General features: G+C 36.1%; 1 protein-coding gene across 5 annotated transcripts in view; it reads right to left on the reverse strand.

The window, feature by feature from the left end:
* Positions 1-15378, reverse strand: part of LGSN (lengsin, lens protein with glutamine synthetase domain) — a 297657-nt gene that overhangs the window by 31557 nt on the left and 250722 nt on the right. For 2 of the 5 annotated variants that reach the window (XM_047418866.1, XM_017010930.3), the window contains 2 exons: positions 13694-13792; positions 12407-12678 (listed from right to left, as the gene is read on the reverse strand). In XM_047418866.1, coding sequence (XP_047274822.1) covers positions 12407-12490 — 84 coding nt within the window. In that variant the 5' untranslated portion in view covers positions 12491-12678; positions 13694-13792. Of the gene's footprint in view, positions 1-12406; positions 12679-13693; positions 13793-15378 lie in introns of those variants that run through there. The other 3 variants (NM_001143940.2, NM_016571.3, XM_011535892.4) reach the window with 2 other exon arrangements.

Genomic DNA, 15378 nt, shown 5'->3' on the forward strand with positions numbered 1-15378 from the left:
GCCCCAGGGAAATACTAGGACAGGTAGAAAAGTTTGGGTAGAGTGGACCATTAAGAGGCTCTTGTTAGCCACTGTTTACCAATCAGTTTAGAAATATTTGACCATTTATCAAGTACTCAGTGGTGCAGCTCTCCCTGGTGGCACCATTATGTTGGAAAAGCAATGCCTGATGCATGGTAAGTACTAAACAGAGGTCAGCCACAAATATTGCCTGGGCACTATGCATTACTGAGGATTTCTGGTGGAAAGATAACTCATTCTAGATTACCTCACAGGCCCTGGCCAGCCTAGAGGTGACTTTCATTGGGTCAGGCACTATTCCCTTATCTAAGAAGCTCCAGATTCTAAACACAATAAAATAGGGGAACCTCTCAGAATCATGAAGGCATATCAAGCAGTCCGAGGATTCTTAGAGTGGGGCAGTGTGATCCAAATAGCCTGGCTTGGACTCTACAGTAATGCTGTTACTACACAGGCAGAGTATTTCAGTCTTCAGATAGGCTAACCTTAAACAGAAGAGGGCGCATTTCAGCTGAAGATAGGGAGTGAGGTAAACCAGGCTGGAAGAATCATGAGCGTAAGTACAGATATGCAGTTTCATTTTGATTGCATGGCATAAATATATACATTTAATTCATGCTTAATTTGGACAATCCCAAATTTCTGCTACAACAGGTTGATTTTCATTCTTTTGATATTTTCACCAGAGCAGCTTTTCACAATTCAAAAATGTTTCCACTATCGTTTCGTCAGATGGCTTTTTGTCTCATACATGGGAATGGCCATAAAAAATGTTTCCTCTTACATTCAAGTTCATTACAAGACATTTTCATAATTCATGTTTTTCTCACCATGGTGATTCTTTTGAAATGGTGTTTATATGGTTTAATATAAGTTTATCATTTTGCATTTCAACTCAGTGACTTGATCAAATTAACTAAAAAACGCTTAACCTAAAGGAATACTGCCAAGCATTAAATGTAGACCCTAATTTGACCTAATAAATTTCTTTCCAATATAATAATGAGTTATTTAGGTTCTAAATATCAATGATTTTATTGATTTAGTTTTAATTTTCTCTAACAGTTACCTTTTTAATGTCAATACAAAAAAAAAAAACTTTTTTTGACCCCTATATAATAGTTATAGTCCGAGGTGTAGGCATTAATGCATTTACCAAACATCTGATTTTGTTAATGAGAGAGGTGCATGAAAACGCAAACAAGCAAATCAAAATTTCATCAAGTTTTAACCTCTGTTAGAAATAGTGGAAAAAGGGATCGATAATTATCAAACTTAAAAGAATATGTCAAAGAGGAAAGAATGTGCCTTCAGTTACCTTTAAGTGTGTTCTTCAAAGAAAAAAGAAAGAAAATGTGCTTAAAATATTTACAGAAGTGTTATTTCAAAGACTACATCACAAACTTGTATTAATTACTTTAAAAATATCCGTACCTATTAACCTTGTATTCCTACTCCTAGCAACTTGGTTTAAGAAAATAATCCAAGATACGTCATGTATGTTCAGTGCCACCTTCATTATAATAGTAAAAATGTGAAAGTAGCATACGAGAAAGTAGAAAGAGTTAAATACACGTGGCAATTCTTTTCAAGTGATTTACCATTTAAAAATAAGCGCTTCTGGCCGGGCGCGGTGGCTCACGTCTGTAATCCCAGCACTTTGGAGGCCGAGGCAGGTAGATCACCTGAGGTCAGGAGTTTGAGACCAGCCTGGCCAACATGGTGAAACCCCGCCTCTAGTAAAAATACAAAAATTAGCCGGGTGTGGTAGCGGGTGCCTGTAATCCCAGCTACTCCAGAGGCTGAAGCAGGAGAATTGCTTGAATTTGGGAGGCAGAGGTTGCAGTGAGCCGAGATCTCGTCATTGCACTCCAGCCTGGGCAACAGAGCAAGACTCTATCTCAAAAAGAAAAAAATAAAGCTCTTCCATTTTCCATCTTTTGTCACCTGGATTGACACAATTTTTTTCAATATCTTCTTTTTTGAAGTGTCTTTTTAAAACTGCCCATTTTTATAAGATTGTCTAGTGGGGTTTTTTTGGCGTTTTCCTTTAATTTTTTAAACTGACAGATAAAATTGTATGTATGTATACCACAAAATGTTTTAAAGTATGTATACATTATGGAATGGTTACATCTAGCTAATTAAATATGCATTATTTCACATACTTATCACTTGGTGATGAGAACACTTAACATCTGCTTTCTTAGAATTTTCAAGAAGGTATATTATTAGCTATAGCCACAATGCTGTGTATTAGATGTCTTGAATTTATTATTCCTATTTAACTGTAATTTTGTATTCTTTGACCAACTCCACAATTTCTAGCCATTCTCTGTGCATCCAATGTTACCCTTCTTCTATTCATCCTTCATACTACTGCCATGTTATTTTTCTATAACACAATTTTGGTTTTGTTATTTCTTTGCTGAAAATACCTCCACAATTCTCCCTTCACCTTCAGGGAAAACTCAAATTGGTATTCTCTAAGGCTCTGCATAATCCAGGCTCTCAACAATCTCTCCAGCCTTCACAGCTGGGAATTTTCACATACAAACCCTATCTCCATCTGTACAAAACTAGTTTTATCATTTCTTGGGGTCACACTGTTTCCTTCTTTCCTAGGCTCCTGTTGATTATCTAGCCTGTCCTGATAAGACAGTTACCTACTTTTCTGGCCACAACCAAAAATTAACCTGCAGGGTGGTTTGATGTAGCCATCCATTACAAAATGATTAATGTTCTTATTTGGGGACAGAAGGGCTACAAAAGGTGACCTAGATCTCCTTTCCTTTTAAAATGTTTATTAATTTTAATTGACAAGTAAAAATTATATATATTTATGGTATACAATATAATCTTTTGATATATGTATACATTGTGGAATGGCTAAATTAAGCTATTAGGATATATATTATCTCCCATTTTTTGTGGTGAAAACACTGAAAATCTATTCTCTCAGCAATTTTTATATATACAATATGAAGGTATGTCAAAAAGTTCATGGAAATGGAATTAAAAGATAAAAATATAAAATATAAACTTTATTTCTCAACATAAGCTCTATCAAGGTTAATATACTTTTGTAAGCAATCATAGCAGCCATTTAGTGCATCCCTTTAAAAATGAGGGTCCTGGAAGATAAACATATGAATGCGGTCTTTTTTACATTATTAACTAAAGAAAAATGAATCCCCTTTACAGATTTTTGTAAGATTAGGAAACAAAAGGAAGACAGAAGGAGCCAAATCAGTGCTGTAAACTGGATGCTTATGATCTCCCATCAAAATGCTCACAAAATTACCCTTGTTCGATGCAAGGCATGAGCAGGAGCATCATCGTGGTGAAGTAGAACTCTCTAGTGAAGGTTTCCTGGGCATTTTTCTGCTAAAGTGTTGGCTAACTTTCTCAAAACACTTTCCTAATAAGTAGGTCTCATTCTTTGGCCCTCTAGAGAGTCAACAAGCAAAATGCCTTGAGCATCTCAAAAAACACAATTGCCATGACGTTTGCTCTTGACTGGTCCACTTTTGCTTTGACTGGACCACTTCTACCTCTTGCTAGCCATTGCTGTAATTGTGCAGTATCTTCAGGATCATACTGGTAAAGCCATGTTTATCTCCTGTTACAATTCTTTGAAGAAATTCTTCAGAATCTTGATCATACCGGTTTAAAATTTCCACTGAAAGCTCTTCTCTTATCTCCAATTGATCTGGGTACAATGGTTTTGGCACACATCAAGTAGAAACTTTGCTGTACTTTAAGTTTTCAGTCAGAATTGTGTAAACTTAACTAACTGAGATGTCTATGGTGTTGGCTATTGTTTCTGCTGTTAATCGCCAGCCGTCTTCAATCAAGGCATGAACAATTAGGGCAAATTGATGTGGATGATCTGCCACTTCAGCCTTCATCTTCAACATTGTTTAATCTCTTCTCAAAAAGAGTCACCCATTTCAAACTGCTGATTTATTTGGAGCATTGTCCCCACAAACTTTTTATAAAGCATCAAGGATTTCACCATTCTTCCACCCCAGCTTCACCATAAATTTGATGTTCATTCTTGCTTTGATTTTAGCAGAATTCATGCTGCTCTGATACATGCTGTATTCAAACTGATGTCCTATGCTTAATGCCTCAAACTATATCCTGTTCAGACATGTCATAACAAATTAGCATGAATTTACTTTGGTTCAAAATATTTTAAAATCCACGCACAGTTTTTATAATACACATTTTCCATGAACTTTTTGAGGTCCTCTTATATATTATTATTAACTGTAGTCACCATGTGGTACAGCAGATCTCTTGAAACTACTCTTCTTTCTAAATAAAATTTTTTATTCTTTGACCAACATCTCCCCAATCCCTTCACCACCCACCCTCTGTTAACCACATTCTACTCTCTGCTTCTCTGAGTTCAACCTTTTTACACATCACATATAAGTGAGATCATGAAGTATGTGTCTTTCTGTGTCTGGCTTATTTCACTTAACATAATGTCCTCTAGGTCCATTCATGTTTTAACAAATGACAGAAAATTTTATTTGGCACTTAAGGGATCATAATGCCTGGGCTAAGCTAATTATTGCCTGTTTAAGGCTTCCTTCCTTTCAAAGGCTGAATACTATCCCATTGTGTATATATATCACTTTTTCTTTATCCATTCATCTATTGCCAGATGCTTAGGTCAATTCTATATCTTAGCTATTGTGAATAATGCTGTAATAAACATGGGAGTGTAGATATCTCTTCAACATACTGATTCCACACCCTTTGGATATATATCCAGTAGTGGATTGCTGAATCATATATAGTAGCTCTATTTTTAATGGATGATTGATGTTCTTAAGTCTCCAATGAAAGTAGAATCCTTATTAAACTTTCTGTCCCTTCAAATAACTCATAGTTATGTTGTCTTCATTATAATTGGTAAATTATATAGTATCCCTTTGGAGATCTCACCTAATGCTTCATTAAATAACTTTCAGTATCATTAAAGTAGAGCTTTCGTCCATGTATAAGTTTTTTTTCTCCAAACTAAAAGGCATTAATTACTTTAGTCCCAGGCATTATGATCTCTTAAGTGCCAAGTATACATTTAAGTGTCCCTTGTAGAATTGAGAAACACTACAGCTAGGTCAGGATACCATAAAACAAGGAACTATTTATATCTCTAATACCCACTTGGGTAATCTGGAGTAGAGATTACATTGATCTGAACTAGGAGAATAGCTCTGGAGAAGCGGGCGAAATGAGCATAGTGCAGACATACTTGGGAAGTGGATTTCGCAGCTTGGTAACTAGCTGGATATAGGAAGTGTCAGAGACAGAGGAATGAAAAATGACAACCACATTTCTGACTAGGAAACCCAAAAAGCAAAGACTTGAGAAAGGAAATTATGAGTTCTGTTTTGGGCATATGGAATCTAAGGTGATTGTGTCATCTGGAGGTGTCCAGCAAGCATTGACCATAAGGGTCAAAATGTAAAAGACAAAATGGAAGGAAAAAATAGCCTTGACAGTGGTTGGAATTATTAAGGGAAAGAACAGGGACTGAGAAAATAAGAGATGTAAAAGAGAACTGAGATGTTCATTTAAATGGTGCACAGTAAAAATAAATAAATAAATAAATAGAACTAAAAACCCACCATAGTTAATGAGTAAACATAAAAAGGAAGTACCAATGGACCATGCTGCTGAAATGATAAATAAGATTGTTATTAATACTTGCCCTTTGTATTTTGCAACCCAAGTCACTGGAGGCCTTGGTAAGGACAGTCACGGTGGAAGCATGTGAGCAGCAGCTAGATCCAGTGAGTTGAAAAGGAATGTGAGTTGTTTAGCCCAGGATCTACACCCAGCAGGCACACAAGAAATATTATCAAATGAAAATATGAAATACAACTCAAAAGTATGAAGTAAAGAAGACAGAAAATATGTCTACCAGGGGAGTACATAGAGGTTCAAGAAAAGTTTACGTTGCTTTTAGGTAGAGAAGACTTGCATATATTTAAATGCTAAGACAGCCAGGCACAGTGGCTTACACCTGTAATCTCAGCACTTTGGGAGGCCAAGGTGGGCAAATGACTTGAGGCCAGGAGTTTGAGACCAGCCTGGCCAACATAACAAGACCCCCATCTCTACTAAAAATATAAAAATTAGCTGGACATGGTGGTGCACGCCTGTAATCCCAGCTACTCGGGAGACTGAGGCACAAGAATCACTTGAATCCGGGAGGTGGAGGTTGCAGTGAGCCAAGATTGCACCACTGCACTCCAACCTGGGCAACAGAGTGAGACCCTGTCTCAAAAATAAATAAATAAATAAATAAATAAATAAATACATACATACATACATACATACATGCATACATACATATACACATATATAAATACATGCTTAATGAAAGGAAACAAAAAAGGAGATGTAGGAGAGAGTAGAAAAAAAATAAAGGGAGGTCCCTGGGAGGACAGAAAAGATGGAATCTGGGATTGAAATAAAGGAATTAACTTTAATACATTTTCCTCTATCAGAGGAAGGAAAAGGGGTAGATCGTTAGAAGAAAGAGCAGAGTTAAGAACGGCATGTTTGTGTCCCCCACAAACCATACAGTAAACCCTAACACCTAATGCGATGATGTTAGGAGGTAGAGCCTTCGAGAGGTGATTAGGTCATGAGGCTACAGCCTTCAAGATACAATTAGTGCCCTTATGGGGAAAAAAATATAGAAGAGTGCTTACTTCCTCTGTCTCTGCTCTCCACCATATAGGATACAAGAATATGTACATCTACCAGCCAGAAAGTGAGGCCTCACTACATGCTAGATCTGCCAGAGGCTTTAACTTGGACTTACAGCCTCCAGAACTGTGAGAAATAAATGTTTGTAATTTAAGCCAGCCAACCTACGGCAATTTGTTATATTAGCCCAAACTGACTGAGACAAGGAAGGAAGAGAAAAAATGAGGAGGAAGAGGACTATTAGGAGGAGAAAGACAGAAAGCAAAGAATTGTTAACATTTCATGAGTGCCTTTCAGATGAGATAACTGAGCCTCAGGAAGATTTTCACCCAATAAATGGCAGAATTTCAATCTAAAACTGATTTTAAACCTTAATCTATCTTATCCATTCTGGATAAGAAAAGGTGGAGGGTTGTGATGCTTCCAATTTTCCCTTTAGGGTAAGAAGTGTTCAGATAGAGTAGGAATATGGAAGACTAAAGGCTTAAGGAGAATGGAAATTGTTTCACATAGTTATAGTGGAAACTGAGAAAGAGCCGACTCAAGAAAGAAAAATATCAAGGGCCCAGAAAGAATTGGAGGTTTTAAAGTTTAAAGTGACACCAATCTGCACAGGTAATTATTTTCTCTAGCAAAGCTCAGCTGGAAATGTGAAGACACCATGGTTTAAGGTTTCATGAGGTCACAAACTCAGAAGGACAATGACAAAAATAAGTTGAGGATTTGGGCAAGGAAGATGCTAAAATAATGGGATATGGAATCCAAGACAGATGGGATAAGAAGTCAAGTCAGGAAAGGATGACAAGAAGAACATGTCAAAGACTGAAGATTCTTAGAAGGTGGCATTTAGATGTATCCTTGTGCCTAACATATTGCCTAGCATAAAGTAGTAATTGAGTAAATAATTTCTAATTAATTAATTATAACCAAGACCTACCATGTTGAAGTATAAGGCCAGAAAGGACATTTGACTCAGACTTCTCCTTTATAAAAGATTCTAAATGAGACTTCTTTGGATGTCAGCAAGACCTGATGGTAACCCACTAGGATGATTCAGTCAAAACAGCTTTCCTAGATAAAATATGGCATGGACTTCTTCAAAGTTTTCTCTAGAAGGGCTTAGACCTGTGCTTCTTTACTTAGATGGGCTTGTGCTAGTGAAAGCCTGCTCTACAATGCCTCTGTAGCTTTACTCTATAAATTTTACCTTTTCTTTAGGGTTTTTTCACAGTAGTTACCCTCAATATCAGGCCTTTTCACCACGGTTATGATTACCCCACTTAAGATACTGAGAAAACATTATTTCTCTTGCTTTTCTGAAGAATAGCTAAAATGTTCTCTCTCTCTCTCTCTGTGTGTGTGTGTGTGTGTGTGTGTGTGTGTGTGTGTATGCATGCTCTCACTCTCTATATATCTATATAAATATATAGATATATATTTCAGTGAGGCAACTGAGGATCTGATAAATGCAGCAACTTGACTGGCTTCATAGCTAGAACATAGCAGAATTCAAATATGTGTGGTTTACAACTCTTATTTCATCTCTTCATGCTACTTACAAACTTTATATGTGACAAAATACAGAAAACTAAGGAAATCCAGGTCTTAAAAAAAAAAAAAACTCCACATTTCAAGTGAGAGTTCAATAGTATCTCTATCTTTTGAAGTAAAACAAAGCACAGAAGGAAAATCCAGATAAATTGCTTGGAATTTGCAATGAATCAGAATTTTACTTAATATAATAAGCCCAAAATGGAATGGGTTATTTGTCAAAGTGTTGAGTTTCTCATCTCCAAGCACATTTGTGGGGAGATTAGCCAAATGTCAGGGTCAACCTGGTTAATTTCCACTTCTACAATCAAATTTTCACTTTCTAACTGTTTAATCCTCACCACTTTTACAAGATAATAACCTAGACCTAAGTTGGCAGATTAGGTGGAACATTCATATGTGACCGAGAATGATAGAGCAACGATCATTACTGAGAGCTCTGTGTGAAAGAAGTATCAGAATGTAAATGATATAGCTGCTCCCATATGAAAAGCTATGAGTCTCGTTTTTATTTCTAACAAATTGGCTAATAGTCAACAGTGTGTATCAACCCATAAACAAATCTCACCTCTGTGGGCAAGTTATGCAAAATCTACAATAGAAGTTCTACACAAGAAAAATATACCTAACCAAACATTTTCAGAGAAGGAAAAACATAATTTTACAAAGGTCTAACACCATGTGATTTTGATAATATGAAGCTAAATAATAAAGAACACTAAAATAATAAAGGAAGCAAAAAGTTTTGTTTTATTTAGTATGTTCATAATTAAATCAAAGAAGAATTCTCCATATTTTTTAGAGAAATTAAGATCGTATGGCTAAAAATATATTTATCCATGTAGACAGGACAAAAATAATTTGTGAAGGCTTTGTGGGTGAGCAGAAAAGCAACAAAAATATTTCAAAGGTAAAAAGACATGTAGAAAAAATTTAAATATTCATGTATATATAATATATATTTATGATAATGGGCTCTGTAATATAGTATGAAAAAAGATCCAAGAATGTTATGGAACTGTTCGTGAAGATATCAGCTAATGGGCTGCTGCAGCATATAAAAATACTGCAAATATGAATATAAAAATACTTTAAATGTGAGAGGGGAAGGTGCTCTACCCTTTAAAAAAATTATGATATGCCTGTAACTGATTGCTAAAAATAGTTCTAGTCATTGTGCCTTAGGAAAGCCTTAATAGGCTAGAAGTGGATGGATATATGTTTATGTAAAAAGGTATATTATATATAATTGTTATCATTACTATCATAAGCAAACAAATTCTATCATGTAAAGGAAAACATGTAAAACTCTTTAAGGCTGTAAAAATGAAAACAGGAGAGCTATTAGAGGTCAACATAACATAATAAAGTATATGTAATGAATGACTCCTTTTTAATGAGTTCTCACTATATTGTAAGCACAGTTCTAAGCACTTTACATGTATTAACTCATTTAATCTCCACAAAATCCCTTCCTGTAGGCACTATTAATGTCCCAGTGAGGTACAGAGAAGTCCAATACTTTGCCCCATGTCACACAGCTAGTAAGTAGCAGAGCCAAGATTAAAATGCAGGCATTCTCATTTCAGGAAGTGCGAGCTTAATCCACTGCCCTTGAAACTCAAATCTAATTTTTGTCTTGTCTCTCCACTGAGAATTCTTAAATGGAGAGCTAGTTGATACACTGGAAGTAGGTAAGTTTGAGGTAAATAATTATAAAATGAACTATAAACCTTGAAATCTTCAGAAGACAAATCTTCTGAATTCTCAGAGACAAAACAAATGGAAAATACAAAACAAGAATCAGGAGGTCTCTAGAGTCACACAGACAATAGCATAAAGCAGGGAAAGCTGGGGTAGGTAAATCTCTAGCCTCTTGAAGCAAGCCTCTAGAAGGTCAGGTAGAGCCTCCCATGGGGCTGCACTTCATGCCCCCAACAGATACAGGCTGCAGAGCAGGATGAGTCTCTGACTTCACCCCAGATGGCATTCATTCCTTCTGTGATATGGAAACGTCAGAACTGTGTCTACCTGTGTCAGTGTTCTCTGTATTGAGTTATAAATATCTGCAGGGTGGGGAACAGATCTTACTCACTTGACATATTACCCAGCTCAGCACCACACACAAGGTTCTTGATAAACAGATTTTAATTGTTATGATATGCCACTCTTTCACTCAATTTCACAATTTCATACACCCATAGGATCTACTTTAAGAAGTAAGAATGTGTTTTCAATCTATTTTTTGTCTGCCACTGCTAAGAATGTAGCTGAATGCATGACTTTACAGCATTGTTTTAAATAGAGAATCTCAGTAAAATATTCTTTAGGGGAGTACCAAACCTAAGATTAATAACTGTTCATTTTACTGAATATTCTGACAAAGAATTTCTTCAGACTGGGGAAGTAAGTATTCTGAGGGATTTTCTCCATATACACAATCTGCCCTTCGGAATCCACTGAGCTTTTGTTCAGCTGCTGTGTTTTGTAGTTAACTTCATGCTGCTCTTGCTCACATTACCAGAGCATCTAGCATGAAACACAGTCTTGTCCTTTTCCAAACATCTGTTAGCTGGAAAAGGAATGTCACATGTCATCTCTCTCCCTCCTTCCATATTCTTTCACTTCCTGAGAATGCGAACCTATACAGGAGAGTATAAAAGAGCTTATTCAGTGGAGTTGGGTCAAGTGGCCAGCCAAGATTCACCTTTATTACATCTAGTAAATACAATGCTCTATTCCAACTTTGAGGGAACTTTTCCTCAAAAGACAGAGAATGTCTCTTGCTGTGAGAATTGTGCAGTTTAAAAATCATATTGTTCATTTTTCTGCTCTCCTAAGAGTAAACAATCAACATTTGGTCTAGACTGGTCTTGAGGAGGGCATGGCTTTTAAGGACTTTCATGGGAGCTGTATCACCTGGAATCCTGGACTAAAATTGTGGGAGCTGGGGAAGAAAGCAGAGTTCTGCCATGGGATCAGAAGTAGTAAGTAAAACTAGTCCAAGAAGTTACATAGTTAGAAATCAAAATCCCAAAAAGCTAATGATGTATATGCTAATTACCTTTACTTTCTTTCTATAAGCCTTCCTTTGCAGCTATGAATTTACTTTTAGCTAAATTCATTATAATCACATAAACATGTCCACCATTTGATGCCTACAACAGTGACATGACAGTACAGGATAAGCCACAGCTCCTCCTCAGGGAGTGCCTTCTTCACATAGCCTTGCCCAGTTTCCCTTAGGGAAAGTGCATTTGTTCTTGACTCTATTTCAAAACAACTGCTTGTATTCACTATACAGATCAGTGAACCCATTCTTAGATGTTAGCTATCTTCTCCACTACATGCAAAAGTGGGGACCAGGTTTGTTCTCTATATGCCACTATTTCATACATAATGCACTGGTCTTCCACTGCACTCTTCACATAGTAGGTATGCTTCTTGCATTATATTTTCTTAACCTACTAAAGATAACTCACATCCTCCCAAATTTTACCACAGCTTGCCTCCAAGTCTGCACTTCAGTCTTTCAGAATGGTCAGTCAGAAATACAAGAGTGAAGGTTGGGTACACACACATTAAGAAGTGAGGAGAAATGTTATATGTTGACAACTGATTATTTTAATATATGCTAGACCCTATAAGTGGCTATCATTATTCATGCTGTGCATTTCAAATATAATTTGAAAACAGGTTTCCACCTTTAGTCATTTAATCTCAAAGCATATTTATTAGAAAGAGGCCAAAGCTTTGAGAAAAACAAAGATTATTCTCTCAATAACAACCAAAATAGAAATAAATTTTTTTATAGCATACTTATGCTTCTGAAACTCAGTGCCTATTGAACTTAAATGATTATTCAAACCAAATGAGCTTTCCTAGATGAATATTTTGAATTGTTTAGTTTTTATTATCTTTATAAATTCACTGTGTAGTACAGAAGGGCAATTCTTCATAAACTTCTCCTGAGTGGACATATAACAAGTATAATTATGCTGCCCTTATTCTTACTGGCATTCAAATAATTGACATTTTTTAAAAAGATTTACTGTCAATATTTTGGTTAAAAACATTTTAATGATTAGCTTCATACCTCCTGCAGAAGGTCCTCTTCATTATTCATCTCAACACTTTTTAAGTTCAGCGTTAGAAACCACAATATCCTCAACAAATGCATTCAACATGTATTTATATGTGTACCTACAACAAAGACTGCAGATGATGAATTCCATAGAGGCTTTTCCAGAGGGGTCTGGCAGGTAATAAAAGATAAACATCAGATTCTGATGTGTCATGCCCAAGGCACAGTATGCTGGAAATGCACTAGAAGAATCGAATGACAAATGCTTGTTTACGCCTGACTCCCTGCAAACAAAAGACATACAAAGCTTAAAATTGTGTTGGTTGATTTTTTTCTCCAACATACAGAATTTTTGTTACATAACAATTGTATTCTGGAATGATATCTATTGTCAGATTCAGATGATGAAACACTTATTAGACGACTATGCTATCAAAGCCCACAGACAAAAGCACAGATGGAAAAATACAGCTATAAGTGACCCAGATTTTTACCAATGGCAAAGATCCACTCATTTGTAATTCTCATTTTTATTTTCTTTTCTAGGTCCCTCTGGCCTCCAAATTAATTCTGGACCTTCATTATAAAACTGAAATATCTTTCTTTAGCTTTTCCAATTCTCCGATGTCAGTCTGTGACAAATCCCAGACCATCCCCACTGTGCACAATGAACACAGAATCATCTACAGGCTGCCCCATATGGTCCCATAAACAATCCTAACTCAGTAGAGGAAATAGGGAATGCTTTCTCTTCACTAGTAAAGGGGGTTTGAAATCACACTTCTGCTGCTATCAACTCAACTTCAAGTATTGTTGATGAAGGAGGATATGCAGTTTCTTCTGAACCAAACCAAATTCTCTCTAAGCATTTTCCATGTGGAAGTGTATAGTCTCCATGGCTAATCACTTCTTCCTGGTCTTCTGGGCCTGAGGAAGACCAAGCCAATACTTACAACCACTCAATCCTGCCTGACTCTCTTGGCCCATTTCAAAAGCCCCATTTCCTAAAGACAGTGATTAACTATTCCTATTTCCATTCCATTGGTACTTGTTCCATGACTGACTCTAAAGCTTCTGCTCTGTGTAGCCTGATCTACAACCAGATCTTGAATTTGGACCTAGTTCTGATGCTGATGCCAGCCTGAAACTGCATCCTGAATATGGCTGTTTTGGACTCTTGAACCTCCCCAAGAAAAGGGATTCTATCTCCTATCCTAGTATTTGACTTGCTCTTGGTGCTTTCCCCCAGATCTCTAGTAGGGTGTTTAATTCCCACAATGTCTTGTACCAGAGCCTTACCTAAGTTTTTCTCAATCCTCTTCTGAGACCACATTTGCTTCCACTTTTACAACTTTTTCTTGCATGTGCTTGTCTCCATGCAAAACAGGTGCCATTGAGCTATGGAAAAAAATGTTTTGTGAAAAATTTCGTTTTTGTTTCAGAAATGTTCCCTTTCCTATATCAAAGAAAAGAACTCCAAGCTGGTTTACATGTTCAGTTACATATTGGGACATGTTTTAAAAAAATCATTCCTTTATAGTACTACTTACCCAAATTTTCTCCTGGGAGTTTTATTGTTATTGAATATGCAATTTGATTCATTTCATCTTCTTTTCCTTACCTTATTTTGACAATCTCTTCTTCTCAATGTGTATCCATGATTTTTTTATAATATCCTTTCCTGAACCTTGATTTGCCCATTTTTGTAAAAAGTGTTCTAAAGCTTGGTTGGACATATGGTGTATAACCTAATTTATGGTATTAGCATGATACATATTTTAAAAGTATTACCATTATTTAGAATCAGTTTTTCCAAAGGAAAAACCAAATGTCAGTAAAGGGCTTAACAAATAGATTAGAAAAATAATAAATGGTCAATAAGTCCATATTAAACACTTTCATTCACAAGCATTTGTTCAATCTGTACTATATCCAGAAAGCTATCTTAGTCAAAATGAATATAGTCATTGAGCCATGAATGTAAATGATACAAGTCTTTCTCTTACCACTCTTCTGAGACAACATATGGAAAGACCGTTCAACTCAAGTACTTCTCCTGCCAAAAAGTTGTAATCTAATTGAATGGATCCAGAGAAGAGTAACTAAAATGATTAAAGGAATTATGGGATTCATTTCATGAGAACAGATTGCAGAAGCTAAAGCTTACTAAGTACCAACAAGGGGAAACAATATGTTGTTTACCACTAAGTTACTGCCTTCTGATGAATTATTGAACAGGATTGGAAGAGCAAAGGATGCAAATTAGGTAAAGGATTAAATCTATTCTTTCACTGTGGGAGAAAATGAAATCACAATGAATCTGTTTTTGTTTCATGTTTACATATATTATATGTTACAGTACAGTGTATAAAATACAAAGTTCTTGTCTTCCCAGCACTAACTGATAAGGAAATAGGGTGAAAACATGCCCAATGAGACCAAGGGAATAACTGACTTGTGAGAATAATAGCCAAGTTCAGTGAAGGAAATAATCTTTCTTATGACCTTCATGAATCACAAAAATATGGTTTCAGGTCAGCATAAGAACATAACAACCACGACAGAAGGATACTTCCACCCTACCTTTCTCCCGATTTGTTGTTGTTCTAGAAGCTGCATGGGTTTGTTCCTCCTTTATATGCATCTAATTATGACATACCTAACAGGAAGACTACATTGACACCCTTTATTGAAGATAACATCATACAAAAATTATAAGGAGTAATATTTGAGCTTCCCTAGTGGTTCTAGAACTCCTGTTCACAAAGGCCCCCAAAAGTTCCTTTCATGAATCCAGTCCCCATTTCTTTTCAGTTCTTCCCAGAAATACCTCATTTTCTAAGAAAATGGTAGATCTGTTTACAGAATTAAGATTTAAAACCGATGATTAAAAAATATTGGAGTGAGGACAGGTAGAAAATCAGTGAATTCAGGGCTGAGCGGAAACACACATTGGCAGGGAAACTGAAGAATATTTTTGTGTG

The sequence above is a fragment of the Homo sapiens genome, chromosome 6, assembly GCF_000001405.40.
Source record: "Homo sapiens chromosome 6, GRCh38.p14 Primary Assembly".
Taxonomy (NCBI): Eukaryota; Metazoa; Chordata; class Mammalia; order Primates; family Hominidae; genus Homo; species Homo sapiens.